The 24200-nt window shown below is 39.5% G+C and overlaps 1 long non-coding RNA gene across 2 annotated transcripts in view, besides 1 other annotated feature; it reads right to left on the reverse strand.

Annotated features, from left to right (window-relative positions):
• Window positions 1–24200, reverse strand: part of LOC105377923 (uncharacterized) — a 63333-nt gene that overhangs the window by 26645 nt on the left and 12488 nt on the right. The window lies entirely within an intron of this gene.
• Window positions 13415–13916: an enhancer, noted in NCBI's record as "NANOG hESC enhancer chr6:106317699-106318200 (GRCh37/hg19 assembly coordinates)". NCBI's record gives its function as "activates a minimal SCP1, AML or CMV promoter by ChIP-STARR-seq in primed H9 embryonic stem cells {active_cell/tissue: H9 hESC(primed)}" and the evidence as "EXISTENCE:reporter gene assay evidence [ECO:0000049][PMID:30033119]".

The following is a 24200-nucleotide window of genomic DNA, read 5'->3' on the forward strand; positions in this document are numbered from 1 at the left end:
GCATACCTGACTACAGGTGCAGCATACAAATATCATCTCACCCAGAAAAAGAAATCCTAAAATGAGGCTTCCCAATAGAGAGCTCAAATTTTGTATTGACTCTTGCTCCCTGCTCCTAACAGAAACTCACTGCAAATGATGTAAATATTTGACTGTCTTCTCTCATGTGGGTGTAATGCCCTTATCCTGTCAGACTTCCACACGTGTCTTAGAGAGTTAGCAATTAGAAGCAGGACCCAACTGCCTTCCAGGGCCTTCAATAATCACAGAGTATAGCAAGACATTTGACAAAAGTGAGAGCAAAGTGGAAGCAGGAAGCTTGACTTTCTTACATTGTCCCAGGGATGCAAGAAAAGCTCTTTGAGCCTCCTCCAAATCAATGATATACTGATGAAATATGTTATACCATGTTAGCAGCATTTCCTAAAGAAACATTAGTTTACTACTAGAAAGTTTGCTGAACAATCATTTCCAGAGTGCTCGCAGGCCCAAGGAAAGGCAGAGGCAAAGAAAGTGTAAGGCCGGGCATGGTGGCTCATGCTTGTAATCCCAGCACTTTGAGAGGCTGAGGCGGGCAGATCACGAGGTCAAGAGTTTGAGACCAGCCTAGCCAACACAGTGAAATCCCATATCTACTTAAAATACAAAAATTAGCTGAGTGTGGTGGCAGGTGCCTGTAATCCCAGCTACTTGGAAGGCTGAGGCAAGGGAATCACTTGAACACGGGAGGCGGAGGTTGCAGTAAGCCGAGATCATGCCACTGCACTCCAGCCTGGGCAACAGAGTGAGATTCCATCTCAAGAAAAAAAAAAAGAAAGTATAAAAGCAGATTGCAGATTATTCTTCATACAGTACAGCTCCCTCTGTGTGTATGAGTACTATCAAATACATTCTGAATTTCACTAGCTTATATTTTCCAGATTTCTTCAAGTTCTCAACATCACTTATCTTTAAAGAGGATTATGGTGAAGCTTGACTCCATCCATGCACACGGATATGCCCCTCCTTGAAGGTAAAACAGAATTATTGCTGGTCTCTTCTCCCAACTCTGAACTTCCCTCTCCAGGGAACCCAGAGGTTTCCATGCATCTCTTGAACACCCTCAACCCAAAATCTGCATCCTATTCAAAAGCACAACATCGTGGTATTAAGTTTTTGTGAATATAAGTAAAGGATTATGTAATGAAAAACCAACAATAGTAATAACTCCTATCACAAAATAAACCAGCCACAGCTGCAGCCTGAAACAGACGGTGAAGAGCCGCATCCAGAAATCAGAAACAGCCATTGTGCTGAATCAAGGTACCAGAGGCACACTGGGCACTCCCTCAGAAACACCCTCGGACCTCTGTGACTTGACTGGCAGGAGGTCTGCCCCTCTCAACAACAACAAGCACAAAATCAAAGAAAGACAGTGGTATGAGAGCCTATTTCCATCTGTTTTCCTTTCCAGGTTGGCCAGCTGCACTGGGTGACATCCTCACAGGACCAACCTCTTTGCAGGTTCTGGCACCATCAGTCACTCCAGCCACTGCACACAGCACATAGTCCTGCACATCTGCAGGCTTTAGCTGAGATGTTTCCAGAAACCTGGCTTGGTGTTCCAGATGTCACTGCTAGTGTCCATGTACCAAGGTCAGCAAGACAGGGTAGAAAATCTGCAGGGTGATGTCCCATTCAAGAGTATAGAGACCAGGAGTTCACAGCAACTCCAGTCCTATCTGCCCTTGGACTTAAGATAACAATGTTAATCTCTTCTGATAGTTATGCAGGGAGGAGGAGTTTCCTTGGATCAAATATTGCAGCTACGATCAATTAGGCAGGGCAAGGGCTGGAGAGGAAAGGTTGTCTCCCATTCCTCATGGGCCACCCTGCCTTTAAGCCTCCCCTGCAAACAATAAGCTGTGGCTCACACAAATGCAATGGCAAAAGGTGCTACTTTTCTCTTTGAATAAAATATTCAAAGGCAATTATAGAAACAGATTTATTACAGATAAATTTAGTGTCGTTGAAAACTTCAGCCAAAAAAAACAAAGAATTGGTTATATATATAACAGGCAAATTATAATATGACTGGACCCTTCGTTAACATCACATTTCTTTAAATCTTTTTTTTCATATACTTTAAGTTCTAGGGTACATGTGCACAACATGCAGGTTCGTTACATATGTATACATGTGCCATGCTGGTGTGCTGCACCCATTAACTAGTCATTTACATTTAGTATATCTCCTAATGCTATCCCTCCCCACTCCCCCTACCCCATGACAGGCCCTGGTGTGTGATGTTCCCCTTCCTGTGTCCAAGTGTTCTCATTGTTCAATTCCCACCTATGAGTGAGAACATACGGTGTTTGGTTTTCTGTCCTTGTGATAGTTTGCTGAGAATGATGGGTTCCATCTTCATCCATGTCCCTACAAAGGACATAAACTCATCCTTTTTTATGGCTGCATAGTATTCCATGGTGTATATGTGCCACATTTTCTTAATCCAGTCTATCATTGATGGACATTTGGGTTGGTTCCAAGTCTTCGCTATTGTGAATAAAGCCGCAATAAACATATGTGTGCATGTGTCTTTATAGCAGCATGATTTATAATCCTTTGGGTATATACCCAGTAATGGGATGGCTGGGTTAAATGGTATTTCTCGTTCTAGATCCTTGAGGAATCACCACACTGTCTTCCACAATGGTTGAACTAGTTTACAGTCCCACCAACAGTGTAAAAGTGTTCCTATTTCTCCACATCCTCTCCAGCACCTGTTGTTTCCTGACTTTTTAATGATCACCATTCTAACTGGCATGAGATGGTATCTCATTGTGGTTTTCATTTGCATTTCTCTGATGGCCAGTGAACATCACATTTTAAAGCCATTTATCTTTCACTTGCTGAGCTATTGAGTAAGTGGATCACTTTGTAGGCAATTCTTTTAGTAATAAAAAAAAAAGAGCTGGGTTAATACACAAGCAAGAAAGTGATATGTTTCATGGGCAAGTTTGAAAATCCTGTTTGCCTGCAGAGTAACAAATGTAGGAGTAACAAGGACACTAACTTAGGCTAGTATCTGTGGGATAGACACAGGGCAGACTAAACTAGGTGACACAGATGTGTGTGGACCTGAGCTGGGGTATGCGGACAGATGAGAAATTACAGACCCAGACCAAAAAAAAAAAGAAAAAAAGAAAAGTAGAGAAACTTTCCCATCAATAGTAGAACTGAGAATGCCTGACACAGCAAGTTTCCTTCCTCCTATCCTCCACCCAAGGGCTCTCTTAATCATTCAAATTGTACAGACAGTTGTGTGAACAATATGCTGGCCTTTGGGCCTATGAGTGATTCCTCTCCTATCAAAGAAAATGGAGCTGATAAGATAATGGCAATAACTGTCAGTGGCACTTACTGAAATAACTTACTATGAACTAATTGGGACTGCCTACCTCTCTCTGGGGGCAAGTATCAGGATATGGTTGGAAGAGGAAAAGAAAGAGGAGGGAAGAGAAGAGAGAGAACGAGGAGAAGAAGAAAGACTGCTCTAAGTCAGCATTAGGCTACAGCCAAGTCTTTTCCAGAAAATGGAAAAGCCTCCTTTAAAGTAAAATCTTCATATGAACTGTTTCCCCAACTCTTTTCCATTCCTTTCCCTTCTCTTTCTTTTTTTTCCCCTTCCTACCTTTTCTCTTACCTCTTTCCTTTGGTAACACCAAAAGGACTTAAAGTGGCTTGAAAGCAATTAAAAAACAAAATGTAAAAATATAAATGACGTTAGAAATTCAGAGGCACATGTAATATGCTGTACATTACGATAGAAAGTTGAGGCCTCGGGAAAGTTAGAATGCATATATGCAGGCTAAGGACCTCACAAATATGCAAATTGAACTCCACATTTCTCCATAAAATCTTTGGTAGCCAAAGTGAAAAAGAAAATCCAATTATATGTTTTTTATTGTTCATGTCAGGACTAGGAAAAATGAGAAACCAATTCTAATCCTTGAACTGTGACTGACTATTTTTTTGTGGTTTTACATCTGCCAAATAAGAAGTATATCTGTTCCATATTTCATAGTAATATATGTAGTGAGAAGTAGTAAGACAATTTATACAAAGAAGTCATCTTATAAAAAAAGCAGTAGATATTTTTCACAGTGGTTTGGAACCAAAAAAAGCATGGCCTAGATCTTAAGTATGCATAATTAAACAGGTTACCTATTCATAAAGTAAAATATCAGATTCTGCCTCATAAAATCTGGGCCTGTCTGATTGTTTCTGGGATTTATTATTTGTTTGTTTTTGTTTTGCTATAATTATTTGGTAGAGCAGGATTGCAACTCCATCCAAAAACTTTGGTGAAGACTTAATACAGTCAAATTACTCTACAGTGATTACGGAGCACGTGTACCTATTCTGCATTTTGAGAAGATGATGAGTAGCTACAAGAGAAAATGACTGACTAACTTCAAAAGGTAGAAAAGGTCCTTTCCAGGATCTAGAACCAGAAATATGATTTGATCCAGCAATCCCATTACTGGGTATATACCCAAAGGATTATAAATCATTCTACTATAAAGACACATGAACACATGTGTTTAGTGCAGCACTATTCACAATAGCAAAGACTTGGAACCAAACCAGATGCCCATCAATGATAGACTGGATAAAGAAAATGTGGCACATATATACCATGGAATACTATGCAGCCATAAAAAAGGATGAGTTTATGTCCATTGCAGGGACATGGATGAAGCTAGAAACCATCATTCTCAGCAAACTAACACAAGAACAGAAAATCAAACACTGCATATTCTCATTCATAAGTGGGAGTTCAACAATGAGAACACATGGACACAGGGAAGGGAACATCACACACTGTGGCTTGTTGGGGGGTGGGGGATTGGGGAGGGATAGCATTAGGAGAAATGCCCAATGTAGATTATGGGTTGATGGGCACAGCAAACCACCATGGCACGTGTATACCTATGTAACAAACCTGCACGTTCCGCACATGTATCCCAGAACTTAAAGTATAATTTTAAAAAAAAGAAGAAAAAAAAATTCACACACACACACACACACACACACACACACACACACACACACACACAAAAGGGTTCTTTCCAGATTCCCATCTTGGAATATTCCTAAATTTCAAGAGGAAGTTTCCTGGAGGTAGCCATTTAAAAAACAAACAAAACACTTTTGTGACCGCATTTCTACATCAACCCTATTCAGAAAACCAAAATTCAATGGAGAGTTAATAAATCTGAATCTTTAATATTTACTCTGCCTGAAAAACAATTGACACATTTTGTTGTTGTCAGATATTTTATAACAAGACTAACATTACAGTGACCTATATATAAAATTATTGTTATAATTTATTATTCCATATTATTGCTTAAGTCTATCACATATAATGCAGAATCTTGGACACAGGCACTTAAATATCAAAACAATGAGATGTGAAACAGGAATAAAAGGTAAAATAGCCAGAAAGAAAAAAGTTATGAATTGAAGAATGATAATTTATTAAGAAAATCAATGGGAAAAGTAGTAGATGTAATAACATAGTTGAGAAAATTATCTGGATATAAGAGAACTATCAAAAAATTGCCAAGATTCTATACTTTAAGCAATTACCATTAAGAAAGTGTAACAGGAAAGCTTTTTCCATTCAAAATTGCAATAAATGATAAATACAGAAAAAAACCCTAACCAACTACATAGCTATGCAAATCAATGATAAATTCATTCATGAATATGAATTGGCAAACATAAATTACCAAATATTTGTAAAAAATGAGTAACAGAAACAGAAGGACTAGGATAAATAAACAGAAAAACTGACTTTAGAAGAAACAGAGACAGCTCAAGGAAAGGTCAAAATGGTGATTTGATAGTCTCGAAGACATTTAATGATGCCATCTCCACTGCAAGGAAGAAGAACAGGCTACTATAAAAGGAGCAGAGACCATGACAAAGTCATACAAAAGAAAAAACATGATTGACAACATAAAATATGTACAGACTAAATAGTAAATTAAATGGAGCAAAAGACCAAGTTGGTGATCTAGATATTTAAGTTCAGATACTATCCCAGGATATAGAGTAAAAATGCAGAGATGTAAATATGAGCAAAAAGATGGGAAGATAGATCCAGATTGTTCCTTTCCAGTGTAAGAGAGATTCTATAAGTAATAAATAATCAAAAGAAATAGTAAAATATACTTTCACCAGGCTAAGAAAAAAATCACAAGTCCTAAGAATGAAAGGGCCCTCCAAGTATGGGAAGAAATTAATGAAAAAAAAAAAAAAGATCCACATCTAGACACATACTGGAAAGTTTCAAAATTCTAGTGGTTTCCAAAGAAACTAAACGTATTACCTACAAAGAATAAGAATCTAACTGACACCAGACTTCTCATCACCACAATAAATGCTAGAAGAAGAAGAAACAAGCCATCTATTTCTTAAGAGAAAATTATTTGAATCAAAATGTCTCTGCTCTGCCAAATTACCAATCAAGGGTCAACAAAAGGCATTTTTAAACATGCAAGAACTCAGAAATATTATCATCCAAGAATTCAATAAGAATATATTATTCATGGAAGTAAAAGAGAAATCCCAAAAAAGAGTTTTAAAGAGAATGTGATGAGAATCAAAAAGCAGTGGCGTCTGATTACGACCCAGAAGAAGTAAAAGAAGCTGAAAATAACTAAATGAGGATCCACCGGACCTTGACCTTTGAAACTATCTATTCTCTGCAAAAAGATTTTTAACACAGGGTTGCTTTTCCTTCAAAATGGGCCCAATCAAATGACTTAGTTCTTTCTGTTTTGAGGGTCTTAATTTTTAAAAAGTGTCTTTAGAGCAATAACAAAAGAGCTTAATTTTATTAAAGGAAAAAATGTAAATGACATAAACCTTAACAATTCAGAAATGATAGAAATCAGAAGTTGAAGCAGGAAAGGGAAGTGAGAGGTAGTAAAATGCTCTTGATTCCTCATGGGGGATGTAGCATACACTAGCACACAAGGCAGGAAAGAATGTTTAAGTGTGAATATATTGAGTAACAAAATAATGAATTTCCTTGATCAAAAAGACCAAATGAGAACATGCCTCTCTTTCCTCCCCAATGCAATAAAACATAAAGCAAAATGAAAACGTATAAACCCGTACTATCACAGAGAACTAACAGGAGGGGAACTATCAGAACACAAGAGATTTCAAAAAGTTTCTGAAATAGGGAGGAAGAAGTTCTGATAATTAAAACAGAGTGAGAGGAACCTCAAACTAGATAGAATTCATGGGGAGGAAGTTGTAGTGGAAAAGGAGTTAGGGTGTCCCAGGTGCGAAAACACGTCAGAGGGCGGGAATGAGGAAAATAGCTCAAAAGTTTTAATCTGGAAGAGTTAGCCACTTCACCATATATCCCAGTCCCTACCCTTGTCCCCAGACAGACAGAGAGCCACACATTATCTCTAGGTCCTCTCCTCCAAAATATAGGGTTCTTCACTAAAGGAATTAAACTCTCTGAGGAGAACTAGGGAAGCCAATGTGAAGTCCCCCTCTTTCTGGTATTTGGGGGACATCCAGGGTCCACACCCTTTCTATCTAAAGTGAACAAACCTCTCAATTCATGGAACTGCCAGACGTCTTTTCTACACAGCCCCTCATGCCCTCAAACTTAAGTGGAAATGGATGGAATTGATGGACAAGTGAAATGCAATAGCAAAATAAAATAAAGAGATCAAAACAAGCTCTTGAAAAACTGATCTCAGGGAAACAGAAGATCCAAACAATCAATGATGACTTAAAAAGAATCTTGAGTATTCACAAATCACTAATGTTTTATTGAAGTATAAAATACATACAGAAACATGAACAGATCATAAGTGTACAGCTCGATGTAACATCAAAAAGTAACTACCACCTATATCACTCAGATTAAAAACAAAACAAAAATCTTACCAGCATGCCCGAAGCCCCCTCCATGCCCCCTCCATTCAGGTACTACTCCCTCTCTCTTCCCCAAAGGAACCTGACTCCTAACACCATAAATTTGTTTTGTCTCTGAGTTTTATATAAATGGAGGGTGTGATAAGTATGTTTCTGCCTTCTTTCCCTTCACATTGTGTTCATGAGATTCATCCATACCGGTTGTGTGTAGCTGCTGTTCATTCATTCTTACTGCAGCATAGCAATCCATTGTAGAAATAAGCCATAATTTTTTATTCTCTGTTGCTGATCATTTGGTGGTTTCCAGTTTTAGTCTTTTACAAATGGTGCTATTGTCAACAATTTTTACATGTGTTTTGGTTCACATATGACACATTTCTGTTGGATATAGAAATAGAAGTGGAATTGTTAGGTCACAGGGTATGCTAAATTCAACTGTAATAGATAATAGCAAACAGTATTCCAAAATGGTTGTACCGATTTACACACCCACTAGCAACATATGAGAGTACTGGTTGATCTTATGCCCTTCTCAATCCTTGGTAAAATCAGTTGTTCTTGTTTTTTTGTGGTTGTATGATTGAAGCTTTATTGTATTCCCTGATTACTAATGAGGTCAAGCACATTTTATATATGTATTGGATGTTTAGATATTAGATATACTTACTGGATGTCTTATGCAATGGCTATTTTTTTGTCTTGCCCATTTTTATTGTGTTGACTTTTTATTAATGAGGGGTGTGTGTGTGTGTGTGTGTGTGTGTGTGTGTAGAAAGAAGCTTTTATATGTTCTAGATAGGAGCTCTTCATTAATTATACATATTGCAAATATTTTTTCCCACTATATAGAAAAATAGAATAAATATCAGACAATAGAAAGAGCAAGAAGCTGGGAGATATTTGATACACAAAGTTCTATGCCTCTCATGAATGAAACAACTCTCAGAAAAGGTTTGACCGTCTTTGTGCCTTAAGAGAATTTTGTGGCCACCTGAGGAGAGCTTCCTTTAAAGCACTGAATCATGTTGGGCCATCAGAATAAGTTTCCCATAGAATAAGCCCCAATCTTGGCAGACAGGGTCCTCCTGGCATCCCCTCAGCATGAGAGGTGGGTGAAAGCTGCTGCATGTCCTCACTGGAGACTCAGGCTTGGGTTATCACACGCTTATGGAATGCAGAGTAGAACGACAGGGTCCTCAGTTGGAAGCATTATCCTCAATTATTCTCTTGCCCTCACTCTCCACATTTAATCCGTGAACAAACCCCATGGACCCTCCTTCCAAAACATGCTACTAACATGTCCCCTTCTCCTCTTCCAGCGCAGCCACTTTAATCAAGCCACCACATCACCGGCCTGGAGTCCTACACAGCCCCATCCACTTCCTTCCACTCTCGCCCCTCTACAATCCCTTCTCCACATAACAGCCAAGTGGCCATTTTAAAATGGAAATCAACTTGTCAGTTTCCTATTCCAGTGGCTTCCACCGTTCTCAGAATAAGATCTAGCCTATTCTTCAAACCCCTCCTTGATCTGGTTCCTATTTCTCTACCTCATCTCCCTATATCTTCTCACCTCGTCCATCAGCCCTCACCTCCCTGGCCCTCTTTCTGTCCTTGGATATGAAAAGCTTGGTCCTAACTCGGAACCTCTGCCCACTCATTGCTTCTCCCCCATGTTATTGACTCCTTTTTGTCCCTTTCTTAGAGAGGCTTTCCTGATCATTCAGACTGAAGGAGCTACCTGGTCCCTCTCTATCACAAAACCCTACTTTTGTGTTACCTACTGGTTTTGTCATGTTGCTGTTGTTTATTTGCTTGCTCATTGTTGAGTGTCTCCACACACTCAAGTACCTCTGTGCGGGCAGGACAACATGTGTCTCCTTCTCATCTTGTACCCAGCACCTAGCACAATGCCTATGTAGAGAAGGAGCTCAATAAATATCTGTTGAATGGAAGAGTGAACATTCAATCGTTGCTGTCCCTGTGAGACCCCATTTGGGATCCATTGAACTCTAAGCACTTGAAGAAACACATTGTCTATATGAGGGGTTGGATTTAGTAGTCTTTCAGGTATTATAAATTAAAATTAGCAATTATCATGTTGCTTTGCTAATTTTGCCCCCAAAAGAAGCTTTTAAAAAAATTCTTAGCTATCTTTTCAAATTTGGATGTAGGGTGAGTACCTTGCTTTTCCTAGGCAAGGATGGAATCAAACTTGGCTTCTCCTGGTTTGCAGTTACAGATAGAAACTCCCCACAATTCCATTTAGGAGAGCACTCTCAGCTCCTTGAATTCAGGCAGTTTCACCAAGGATTTGAAGAAATCCTTACTCCCACAGGACTTTCTTAGCTCCTAAATTTTATCCTTTGCTTTTGTGTAAGGGAGACTAAACATTAGACATATTGAGAATTAGAATAAGTCCCAAGAAAGAAATAGACAAGAAATCTAATTGCAGAGTAGGCTTCAATAAAGACAAGCTAATTATTAAATAAATAACACAGCTTGCTGGCCTCTTGGTTAAAAGTATTTGTGTAATTCACCCATAGATATAGTTCTAACAATATTTAGCAGCTGCCATGTATCAAAAATGTATTATGTGCCATGCAGTGGGTTAATTCTTACCTAGTTAAAGGTAGAATAAATTGATCTTATCAGGGTACTAGATCAAGCCTGGAAGAATTGAGTTCTTATTATATGGGATAGATAATTCAAAGGTTGGTGCCCTTGTATGAACTAAAATCAGAATGACTAGTTTCTCCTTGTCCCTGCTAAAATTACAATGCCAGAAATTGACTGTTGGAAAGTCCTGAAATTCCAAGGAACCCCAGGAGATACAAAGTTGAATGTAAGATACAATGCCTGCCTTCAAGTTGTTCACCATCCTGAGTGGGAAAGACAAATAGGTAAATCCAATCCAGAATGCCAAGGACTATAAAAAGGAATAAGAACAAAGGAGGAAGCATGGGGTTCTCCGAGGAAGTGATGTCTAACCTGAGTTCCTGAAGGAGGAATAGGAGTCTGGAAGGAGTACTCCTCCCCGGCAGAGGGGCCAGCACATGGCAAGGACTAGTGTGAGAAAGGGCACCATTCATTAGGGGAAGTGAAAGCAATTCAGTATTGGCCAGGGAGCAGAGTGTGTGCGGACATGGTAAGACGTGATGCTGAGAAGTAAACGGAATCTAGGCCATGAAAACTTTGTAAGCCATGCTAAGCAGTTTGGAAATTATCACATGAGCCATAGTGATTCTCTGAAGAATTTAAAGCCAGGGAGTGATTGATCAGATTTGTGTTTAGAAAAATCACTTTCAAGGGGTGGGACTGGAGCCAGGAGTGGGTAGTGGTTGCAAGAAGATCATGGTGTTGGTATCATTGGCCAAATTAGAAGCAATAGGAATGAAGGAAGTAGTACAAGAAAATAGGAGGAGAGGGAAGTAAGCAGAAAGTAAGAATGACTTCCAGGTTTTCAGATGACTATTCTGGAAGAAAAGATTACACTTTGCAATATATGATCAAGGATGTTTCCAGATCAGGAAAGATGTGTTCATTTGTCTTTCAAGACTCTGAATTCCACAGATCCACGATTACAGTGCCACTAATACCATCAGGGACTCAACCATAGTTAAGAGGAAGCTCTAAACTCCAGTTTCATGCACTGAGGGAATCCATTTCATCTGAGGAGGAAGAGGACTTGAAAGGAAGTTAACCAGAGGCACCAACTGATTATAGTCTAGGCAGAGAACTAGGGAGAGGAAAATTAGATGTTGGTCAATCTAAAGAATAGACCTTCCTGGCAAGCAAGCAAAGGGAAAATCAAGTAGAAGAATGGAATGATTCGTGTTAATGGGACATCACTGAGCAAGCAATTTCCAAGGGGGGATAAGTTCACGGCAGAACTGGATCGCATCCCATTTGATAGAATGTGCTGATTTGCTGAGAAGGTTGTTATGCAAAGGTGTGAAGAGGGCAGCATTAGAACTTAATAAGCTGGCTCAGAAATGTCTCAGTTGTCTTCAGAACTGCTTCTTGTTTGTTGTAAGGGAATTGGGATGGGGGTTGGGAGAGACAACGTTGGAGAGGATTGGAGATCCTCTTTAACCAACTTACAGAACTCACCCAAGTCCTCTGTGGAAGGCTGCAGCCTTTGTGTACGTGGTTGTTTTACAGACTGAGATATAACTAAGACCAGAAATGCTGAACTAATTCCGAAGCAGTCAACCACCACAAGAGGTTTATAGGGGCAGCATGCTAAGGAAACTCACCAAGAAACAGACAAACACCACTGTTGACAAGCCTTCTGTCTTAAAGCCTAATGTTTTCTCCTGGGGAAATGAGATAGACCAAGAGAAGCCACAAGGCCCCTTTTTGTCTAGAAGCGGTGCCCTGAGATCTCGAGAAGTTCTCCAGTTGGGCTTTAAAAATCCCCACAGATCCAAAGTATTCTTGGGGGTCAAGGGGGTCTCTACAATTTTTCAATTTTGTGTTTCCACTTCAATAATTGTGAAAATTAATATAATCATATTTGGGAGTGTCTTTATGATTCCTTCAAATCCAGGCCTGCCCTTTAATGCCAGTGCTATCTTTGTTTCTAGCGTACAGTCACATTGGTGGCAAGTAGTACTTTGTTGTCATGGACTAATGGGTGTTGGAGGAGGTGGGGAGACAGAAAACTTACGCAATAGAAGTGATTTTCCAAGTGAAGTACTACTAAGTACTCCAGTAATGCTAGTGTACTAAGGTAATGTTAGGGTATATAAGTAGCTAAGTAGGTAATACTTACAATGCTAAGATAATTTTAAGGTAATAAGATGGCAGTCAGGAAGAAAGAGCTACATCCTGCTTTAATAAATGACAAGGCATGTCATCTTAGTCAGAAATGCCCCAGGGGAGAACTCAGGGGACACACAGGCAAGGCAAGCAGGAGAAAGGGCTGTGAACACAGCCAAGTGGCTACCTGAGAGCATCAGAGATTAGAGTAAAAAGGGGTGGAGGAAGCTCTAGGTCAGGATGGGACAGAAGGACCAGAAAGGAAAGTGCTTGGGAGACCTTAAGTATGTGGGAAGAACTTTGTCTTAAAAAGAGTCCTTCACAAAGGTAGTGTTTACCCCTGATTCTTTTCTTCTCCTCAGCCTCTTCCGTGTTAGTGGTTTTGTTGTGCTGTGCATTCAAGAATACCAAGGTTTGAGTTGTAATTTGTTAGTATAAATTCTTAAGGCCAGAGTGACCTTTTTTTAGACTAGAACACTGTTGCACTTTTTCACATTCTTCTGCTTATGTAACAAGGACAAGCATACAGCTAAATGGCATTTGCGGGCCAACACTAAATTCATTCATTTACTCGACTCAGTACATTGACTGAGTACTGATTCTGTGGTAGCCATTAGGATACAGTAAAGAACAGAAGTAGCTCAGTCCCTGCCCACGTGCAGCTTTCTACAGAGTAGTAATCTAGGGAATAGCCAACATTGCCAGGCCATGCTAAAGGTGTAAAAGTTCCTCTCCACTCTGACACTGCACTTATTTTTCCAATAAAAATAATAAAATAAATGTCAATGTACTCATAAATCGATAGCACCAGAGGTTATTTTGATGTTCTCTGGGACCTTCGTATTCAAAGAGTAGCTCACATTCCAGCACCTGCAGCATCACCGGCAGCTTCTCAGAAATGCAGAGTCCAGGTCCCGCCTCAGACCTGCTGAGTCAGAACCTGCATTGTTACCCAACTGACCCTTATGCACATCAACATTTGAAAAGCCCTTTTCTCTTAACATGTTTTAAGAGAAATGGCTGCCTTTTCACCCAAGAGGATAAATCTGCAAATATTTTATATGGTTATTTGGAAACTATCATTTAGATCTGGTTATAGTTTCTCTGGATGTGCACTATCTCAATGGATCTTGGGCCAGCCAAGAAAAGTGTGTCTGTTTAATAGTCTAAAAATAAATTTTCAAGTTCCCTTTAGAACTTCTGCATTTCTCATACTTAGTTTTTAACTTTTACTTCCAAATGGTCTACTGAAGGAAAAGAAAAGTCTTGATTGCTTCGACTTTTCTCAAAAAAATTATGAAACTTTTAACCTTGGAACTCACTGATTTAGAATATTTATTAAGATTTCTAAAAATAATAAAAAATTTGATTATGTACCAATAGAGCCTCACAGTTGAAATCTTTAAAAATTAAGAATGTTAACTATCACAGATGTTTTCTGCCAATTACAGTAAGGATATGTATTCTCTATTGTCAACTACAAAGATAACCTAGAGAATTAATGTTTTATATTTATATATGTACATCTGCATGTCTGGGTGTGTGGGTGAAAGGAGAGAGAGAGAGAGGGAAACTTTGCAAAACAATGTTAAATAAAACTATTTCAAGACCTCCTTGTTGAACACTCAAACAACAAGGAAAGTCAGAATTGTTTGGAAAACACTTTATCAGTTCTAATCCCTTCACATTCTCTATTCCACTCTCCTGCCTCAGAGCTTTTCCTCTACAGTTTTAATCGCCTACAGTGCTTTTTCTTCTCCTTACAAACTTTCTTCATCGCCAATTATCCTGGGTGTCTTTTACGTCTTTCTTTCCTGGACTTCTACTACTGACACTCCCCTACGGCATCACACTATTAACTGACACTTCAATATGCTTTATATTTTTTACTGCTAAGATTTTAAGCTCTGTGAGGCAGAACTTAAACTATAGATATATAAGAAAATTCCAAGCACATAATAGCTACTCAATAAATAATCATCAGTTGATTAGTCAACTATATAAAACTATACTTGAATTGAATGAACAAGGGTAAGAAAGCCTTCATGTTACTTAATTTAAATGAAGCTGAATATAATTAGAATTAATCAGATTGGCAATAGACACCTGGCCTAAGATCAAGAGATCTGGGGGTTTCACAGTATTTGGTTACTCTTTTTTTGTTCAGTTTCCCCTTCCAGTTCGCTAAAAAACAAACAAAAAAAAATTATAAAAGGTTCTTTTCAGAATGTTTCTGTACCCACAAATTTTATCAGTATTAGTAACAACCCGATGAGCACAATCAGATGGGAGCTATAAATAAAAGGAACAGTCTAATAAGAATTCACAGGCACGTGTCTATCATCTAAGAAGACATAGCTCAACTTGAAACCCTGTCTACACATGACTCCATGGCTGACCCCAAAAAGCCCAAAATTAATTTAAAAATTTCCCATCCTCTTTCCTTTTTGATATTTTATAAATATGATGCTAAATCTTTAAAATCCACTAAAAGTCCCATCTCTTCCATGAATCTTTCCTCTACGGAAAATCACCACTCCTCTCGTCTGTAAACTGCAATTAAACTGAGATTTCAAACCACCTCAAAGGGTATTCGTTCTCATAAATGCTTTGTGTTCTTATCTTATCTCTCCAGCTAGATTTAAAACCTTTGATATATCTATACAAGCCTAGGTACACAGACACACAGAGAAATTTGCTAATCAAGCCGAACAATTTTAGTTACAGTTCAAGAAAGATGATATTTGCTCAAGTGTAGTCGGATAGGAAGTTTTAGCACTGAATTAAAGTCCTAAATAAGAAAGGTAGAAGATTAGGAAATGCTGAATGCAAATAATGAATTGTTTTGTATCTCAAAAATGTTTGGGTCCATAGATTTTTCTGAAACTCATGGGACATCAATTTTAAATGCATATGCTTATGAACGTGACATCTTCTGGGTTGAAGCATCAGCTCATAAGAAGGCACATGGTCTCTACTTATAGACTAGACTCAGAGAGTCTAATAAATTCAATTCGGAGTTATTCTTTTCCAAAATCAAATGCCAAATCTTTTAACACTGGCCAGTCCTCATAAAACAGTCTATCAAACATAATGGAAAATTTTTTAAAGTTCCTGGAATAAATGTCACTCCGACTATATTTTTTTCTTATCCAATGGGAAAACAGCACAAGACTCAATTTTATTAGAAAACTGTAGCATTCCAAATTTCATCATAGTCAACTCATTCTTAGCACCCAGACCCAGTCCCATGCACGTCACCCTACCACCCTCACTCCCCAGTTCCCAGTGATAGGCAAAAAAAAAAAAAGAAAAAAAAAAAGAACTTCACCCAAGTTCTGCTGACGTCAATAGGGTGTTTGCGTGCAAAGTCTGGTGGATGGATTGAAGACAGTGTGTTGTAACTTTTCTTAAGGCCCCAATTATTCAAAGAAACCTCACTTCTAAAGGGAAGTATCAAAAATCCAGAACTCTCTTTCAAGGAAAAAGCAGCAAGTAAATCTCAAAAGAATTAATAATGGATAATGCCCTAAACCTCATAGTAATAACAAACGGTGATCATACATCCTTAGGGAAAAAAATGCAAAGGAAAAAAGCATAACTAAGAAGAGAATCATAAGTATCCACAATTGCTTATATTTGAGGCTTTTTGTTTTTTGTTTCTTAAACATTTTCAGTTATGTCAAATACCATCTGCAAATGTAAGTTCTCAGAGTTTTCTGACTATGGTACTGAACATTCAGATACTGTAAAGAGCCATTTGCTCAAGATAATAATTAATATTTATTCCAAAATAATAAACGTGAGATGCTGGACTTCGTGCTACACAGTGGGGAACAAAGAGTACCTAAAAAAAAAAAACAACTAAATTTGAAGAGAAATGTTCTTGCTCTCAAACATTTACAATCGAGTTAGAATAACAGGTATAACATATTCTGCCTTGTTTTCACATACATTTGCTACATGTCTGATACATATATGAAATAATGGAATAAAGCTTTAAACAGCAATCAATCAATAAAAGCAATGAAGTTCCATGTGTACTGGATGGGTGTGGCCAATCCAAGTGCATCCTAAGAAGTGTGAGCAGAGATAAGTAGGTATCTGGGGCAAGGGTGATTTGCCCCCAAGGAAACATTTTTTTGGCCAATTCTTAAGACTGTTTATTTCCTGCACTATACTTCATCACAAGACGGCAGACTGGAAAAATATCTCCACGACTTGGAACTGTTCTTGTTTACAAAGCTGTGTCAACTATAAGTTCAAAATAAGGGCATACTTCTTTTTCAATTTCTATATGAAAAGAAATCCTTTCATTCCAGGAAAGATAGCATTACCCAAATGAATCACAAAATTGTTCCTTTGACACACTTCAGATTTGTGGTTGTTAGAAACAACTCTCAAATAGAAAACACTGTCTAATTGTCAGTAGCTTGTTCCTCTGAGTCTTTTATTAGGGTTGGTACAGACCAGCTGACAAGTTATTTCAATTCATTTCAGTTCTATAAACCATCTGTAAAGAGCTGTTCTCAGGGCTGAAATGATACAAAAAAGGAAGAACAAAGAGTTGCTACCCCATCTCTCCGGTGGACTCACTCGCACAGAATGATGTTAATAACCCCACAGCAGCAGGGACAGAAATACAGCCAGTCTGGTTATCTTAACCTTTATAGCTTGCTTTTTTTCATGCGCAAAAATTCCATTAGTGGAGCTGAGCATTTTATTTAGCATTTGAATTTTACTACTTTTGTCTTAAAGGGCAAACCCAACTACATAGGCATGACTTTTTTTCTTTGAAGTCCCAGAGCACTCTACCTAGAACTCTCATAAGACACTTACGTTCTCTACCCAACCTGACAGTTGTTTCAGGTAAGTGGTATGTTTGCTTGTTCAGATGCCTCCCGCTGAGGAAGTAACTCAGTAAAGAGTTAACCACTCACTGCCTGGCACAGTGAATGAATGAATCAATGGAGAATAGATTCTATGCTCTCTGGGGGCAGAGTGCATATCTAATTATTCATTGTATGCCCCAAAATACACAACAGGGTTTCAGTAAATAGGTGTTATATCACTGAACTGAATCACCATATCTTAGAGTCAGTGCAGCCATATGCAGATATCCCTTCTGCAGCATCTATTATGGGTGACCACTCAACATCTCTTGGAATGCTTCCAGTGACAGTGCTCAGTACTTCTGCTGCAATTTCAACCCTTAGGTTAACATGACAAACAAAAAAGAATTAATCATATCTTCATCTAGATATAGTGCTGTTCAAGCAAATTAAAATATATTAATTATTCTTGCCTTCCTTTTTTTTTTTTTTTTTGAGATAGGGTCTTGCTCTGTTGCCCAGGCTGGAGTGCAGTAGTGCAATCTCAGCTCATTACAACCTCTGCCTCCTGGGTTCAAGTGATTTTCCTGCCTCAGCCTCCCAAGTAGCTGGGATTACAGGTGCGTGCCAGCATACCCGGCTAATTTCTTGTATTTTTAGTAGAGACAGGGTTTCACCATGTTGGCCAGGCTGGTCTTGAACTTCTAACCTCAAGTGATTTGCCCGCCTTGGCCTCCCAAAGTGCTGGGATTACAGGTGTGAGCCACTGTGCCTAGCCTATCCTTGCCTTTCTAAAGATTGCATTTTCTAGCAGAGTATCATTGCTGAGCCCAACTCAATGTCCCCAGGTGTCTGTTTGTAAGAGTTGATCACCTGTGACAGTGCGCTTCACAACACAGATTTGACTTCCACCGCAGACTGTCCAAAATTTCAATTGTCGGTACCCCAGAATCACCTACGAGCCTTGTAAAAATACGAATGCCAGACTCTGCTTCTGACTCACTGCATCAAAGTATCTAGGGGTGAGGTCTGGGTATATAATTTATCTAACTAGGGTTGAAAAATGCTGAGATAAGGACATTTTTGCTTTAAAGCTCAAGAAAGAGAGACATTTTTGTGCCAGGAATCCTTCAGTCTTGAGTGAGAGAATCAAGGGCATGGAGGGGAAGAAAGATGTGGAGACATTTCCTTGTCCAGCTCCACAGACTTTTTGGGCTTCTACGAGGGAAGCAATCAGTGAGAGTTGAGAGGGCCCATGAATCTGTAGGCCATACAGCTCCAGGGCTAGAAGGACAGCAAGCATGGTGATGCAGCCCAGATGGTCAGGTTCTCAGGGAGGGCAACAACAGCCACAGCCACCAGACACCCTCAAGCAACAAGAAGAGCCAGGGTGGGAGAATCAGAACGGGCCAGAGGTCACAAGGTGGCTGTGGTTAATAGACCGACTTGAGCACATGGCAGACACCCTGCCTGGGGACTTCCAGACTAATTCAAGAGGAGGACTCTACAGGGAGATTCATTCACTCATTAGAACACTACAGGGAGATTCATTCATTCATTTAATACATACTTATTGAGCACCTACTCTCAGCCAGGCTCTCTTAGAAGTTCCAAGATTACAGGAGATAGGAATAAATGTAGAATCTCACTTAGGAAACCTGAGTTCTTAGTGCTCATGTGACCCACAAGGCTCCAACTAGCAAAGTCCTGAGGCATTAGGAATAGAACTTGAATACATAACGTGGAATTAGGTATACACGAAGAGATAAGGGTGAGTATCTCCTTTTCTGACTTTTACTTGAAGAAAAAAAAATCACTTTTTGAAGACAGAGAAAGATATACATATAGATAGAGATAGATACAAACAAAAAAGATAGATAGACCTTAATGTGTGTAGGTGTATATACACATATGTGTGTGTGTGTGTATATATGGTTGGTGCAAAATTAATTGCAGTTTTGCCATTCAAAGTAATGGCAAAGGCTGTGCAATTACTTTTGCACCAACCTAATATATACACCTACACACATTTTTCAAGGCATAATCCCATGCATGCACTGAGAGTTTCTTGGGATACCAGGCGTCTCTTATCCACCAAGTTAAACTTGTCTCATCCCACTTTGCCCTAGAGCCCTCAGAAGGATTGCAAGCAGAGTGCAGCCTCCCCTTTGTTCTGGCTGCAGCTGTCTCTGCCTGGATGAGCTCTCTAAGAGCCCAGGGTAACGGTCTTGACCGTGACTACTTACCGAGAGGCTATGAAAGGATAAACAGGCAGCCACATGAACGCAATGCTCTTTAATTACGTGGTCCCACCATGGAAGGAAGGCCGGCAGACAGGCAGACACATTCCAATTACACTAATACACCTTGTAAACATCAAATATTTTTATTCTGAGATTAAAGACAGCCTGTATCCTCACAACACTCCTGAGACCGTGCGTCTCAGGGCTGCCAGTGCTGCTGGTGAAACAGGATTTCCTTTGATTAAAATAGACTTTCATATAAATAACAGCCTCAAGTCTAGAGGTGGTCAAATGTAACTTCCACTGCAGACTGTCCACAATCTCAATTGTAGTTCTTAAAAATCTTTCAGAAAGGACAGGGTTCATGTTCTCAGAGGAAACTGATTAACCTAGCCTCGTTTTCTTCCAGTTTTTACCCTACCTATCCAGAGTCGGCAGTCAATTGGTTCCCTTGGTTAACGCTTGGTGGCAGTGGGCCTTGAGGCTTAAATCTGGTTGTTGTGTGGGTCACCTGCCTTCACTTGGTGTCAGCTCTTCCTGAGTCACAGACCGAGATGTTACTAACCCAGCCAAATTCTTTTATCCAGGCCAGCGGGGAACCAGTGACCTGAACGTGCAAGGTGAGTTGTCTGGGTACCTCGCCACTGGTTGTAAGCTAATCTGTAGAGAAAAAGTGATGAAATTCAGCAAAACCATTCATATGCCTTTCTGATAGTGAGCCTTTTCATGTGAGTCATCATCATAGGCAAAAAAGTCTTTGAAGCTCCTGATCCTATATCACAAATAAATGTTAGAACTAATAAATAAACTCCCAAAGAAATAGGTTCTCTATTTGAACCAATAAAACAACTTGTATAAGATGAAAACTTCTGGTCTACTCCATTCAGGCTGCTGTAACAAAATACCATAGACTGGGTGGCTTAGAAACCATAGAAATGTATTTCTTACAGTTCTGGAGACTGGGGGGTAAAAGATCAAGACGCCAGCAGATTCAGTGTCTGGTGAGAGCCCACTTTCTGCCTCATAGATGTTGCCTTTTCATTGTATCCTCACGTGGTAGAAGGGGTGAGTCTCTCTCTTGGGTTTCTTTCATAAGGGCACTAATCCCATTCATGAGGCCTGCACTCCTATGTCCTAATCACCTCCCAAAGGCCCTAACTCCTAATACCATCACCTTGGGATTAAGAGTTCAACATAAGAATTTATGGGGAGACACACATATTCAGACTATAGCACCATCTTAGTGCAAACAACTCCACGTTACAACGGTAGCTCTTTGTGGATGGTCTGCTAAATAGTTACAGGCAACCGAGTCTTTACACAGGCATTGCAGTGTCAATACCTAGGCAAGTTTAATACATAAAAAAAAGCAGACAATGAATCCTTGAAAACTATCCTATTGTGACATGAACCATCAACTCTAATTTCTATATCACATTAATTTGAATTTTTATATGTCATTTCTTCAAAGTGGGTGCCAATGCTACAAATTGGAGGAAATTATGCTTTATGAGTTCCTCTGCAAAACACAGTCTCTCTGGCACAGGGAGGTGATCTAGGAATCCAGATTCAGTGACTCTCCTGCTTTAGTGGCCCTTTATGGAAAAGCTCCAAGATACTTGGGGATACTCGAATGGCTCAAAAGACAAGAGGTGGGCAAGGTGGTCCTGAGAAAAGGCAAACCCATTTAGTTCCTCATGCCCACCCATGACAGTCCATCCCAGCTTAGGCTTTATATAGATTAAGGTGAACACCAAGGGAAGGCCCAAGGGCAAGGCACAGTGATTAAAGGGTAGTAAGATACAAGGTAAGTGTGAGATACAAAGAAGGGGCTTCCCTATACTTAACACATTTGGGTTAGGGAGATCATTAAGCTCATTGTTGACACTTTGGAAGCCACAGCATTCATTGGTTTATCCACTCAATAAATACCCTGACTACTTAGCTACTGTTTAACAGGTTCTGTGATGAGGGCTTAGGATAGAAACACAGGTTGGACAAAGCCCATGACTTCAGGGTGTTTATAGTCTGGTATAACAGACAGAGAAGGAAACACTGGGGGCAATAGAGCCCATCTGAAATGTGTCTTAGGAATATCACTATGGTTCAGGAGGAAAGAACATATTTGAGGAAGATCAGACTGAAAGCAGGGAGACCAGGTAGAACATTATCGCCCAAGTTCAGGATTAAGGCAACCGGGGCTTGTACTATGGCAGTGACCATGGGAACGGAGAAGAAAAGAGAAGCTGGATCCAAGTCTAGGGGCCAAGTTTATGAGGCTAAATTGTGACAGGATTTAAGGAAAGAGGAAGAACCACATCTAGAATGACACCTAGGCTATTGGGTGCTGGAAAAGGAATACAGGACAGTGGGAAGGGGGGCGGTAGGGAGCAGTTTTGGGGAAAGGTATGCCGGATGATTTGAGATTGGAATGTTTTGAGTTCAAGCTTCCTGTTGTACGCTTAAGTTAAAGTGCAGAAGAGAAGTCAATGCTGAATAAATATATCTAGGAGTCGTCAGGTTACTAAAATAAAGAGAACAAATGAGATCTCCCAGGGAGAACACAGGGAATGGAAAGGAAGGCAAAGAGGCTCTGAGCAAGGGGTGGTGACGGGCGGCACCATCACAGCACAGAGGCACACTAGACATGTTTTTCAATTAGAAAAGAGTCTGGTGGAAAAACCACAATGAGATATCATCTCACCCCAGTTAAGATGGCTATTATCAAAAAGTCAGAAAATAGCAAATGCTGGAGAGGATTCGGAGAAAGGGGAATGCGCATACACTGTTGATGGGAAGGTAAATGAGTACAGCCACTGTGGAAAACGGTATGGAGGGTCTTCAAAACTCTAAAACAGAACTACCACATGATCCAGCAATCTGACTGCTTCACAGAGATCCAGAAGAAAGTAAATCACTATATCAAAGAGATACTGCACTTCCATGTTTATTTCAGCACTATTCACAATAGCCAGGATATGAAATCAACCTAAGTGTCCATCAAAGGATGACTGGTAAAGAAAATATGATACACACACACACACACACACACACACACACACAGTGGAATATTATTCTTCCAAAAAAGTAAGAAAATCCTGTCATGTGTAGCAATATGGATGGAATCAGGAGGACATGATGTATAAGCCAGTCACAGAAAGACAAATATTGCATGTTCTCACTCGTATGTGGGGCTTAAAAGATTTGATTTTATGGGCGTGGTGAATACAGTAGTGGTTACTAGAAGCTGGGAAGGGTAGTGGGATGAAGAGGGGTTGGCAACAGGTACAAAAGTACAATTGGATAGAAGAAATAAGGTCTAGTGTTCAGTAGCACAAGAGGAAAACTATAGTTAACAATAATCTATTGTATATTTCAAAATAGCTTGAAGATTTGGAATGTTCCCAACACAAAGAGATGATCAATTTTGAGGTGATGGCTGTTCCAGTTACCCCAACTTGGTCATTACACATTGGATGCTTTTATCAAAATATCACATGTACCCCATAAATATGTACAACTATTATATATCAATGAAAGAAGCTTAAAGTGTTTTTTTAAGAGTCTAGTGGAAAAGCAGAAGATGAGTGAAAATAATAAAGGAATACTAAAGATGGAGAGATTGCCCTGTAATAAGCATGGTACATTTCTGCTAAAATTTACTGTATTTGATTATAAATACCAAATTCTCACTAAGTTCAATAAACCTTTTCTAGTTAAAAAAAAATTATTTGTTCCTTTTTCTTAAACTTTGTGTGGGGATTGTTGCATTAAAAGTGACTTCATTTCCAATTCCAAAATAGTTTTTACTTTTTGTAAAAACTGAAAGTGATGATGCTTCTGAGCAGAAATGGGTGAGTATGTTGAAGACTGCCTTCTTTTGTGAAATCAAGTTCATATCAAACACTTTTTGGCTAGAATTACTAATGCATTACGAAGACTCCTATTTCTTTAAATAGAAAATAAAAGTCCACTTTCCCATAACTTAGATCAGGAAGGCTGCTTCTTGTTGGCCGGGGGTTTTTTATAGTTGCAGCTTAAATTCAGGATGATTTTTATGAGGCAAGGAAGACGTAGATCCTTCTGCAAAAAGAGGAACTTTCACAATTAGTGAAAACCAAGAGTGCTGACACGAGGGACTGGGGAAGATGCTATAACCACAGCGCGTGATGAAGGGAAGACAGCCCTCAGCCACCTTCCCAGCCTGTGCCGGAGCACACGCGCCCCCGCACTTACTGACACTCTTCACGTGTCGGATCTGACTCCTGAAGCAGGTATCACGAGAAAGAGCAAAATGCCCATCTTTGCCTTTAATATTGAAACCAGCTGTGTTGATTCCTCTCTGACCACCTCTCCCTCTGCCTCCCCCAAGTAGTTCACACAGATAAAATGTCTTCAGGACAAA

This window comes from Homo sapiens, chromosome 6, assembly GCF_000001405.40.
Source record: "Homo sapiens chromosome 6, GRCh38.p14 Primary Assembly".
NCBI classification, from domain to species: domain Eukaryota; kingdom Metazoa; phylum Chordata; class Mammalia; order Primates; family Hominidae; genus Homo; species Homo sapiens.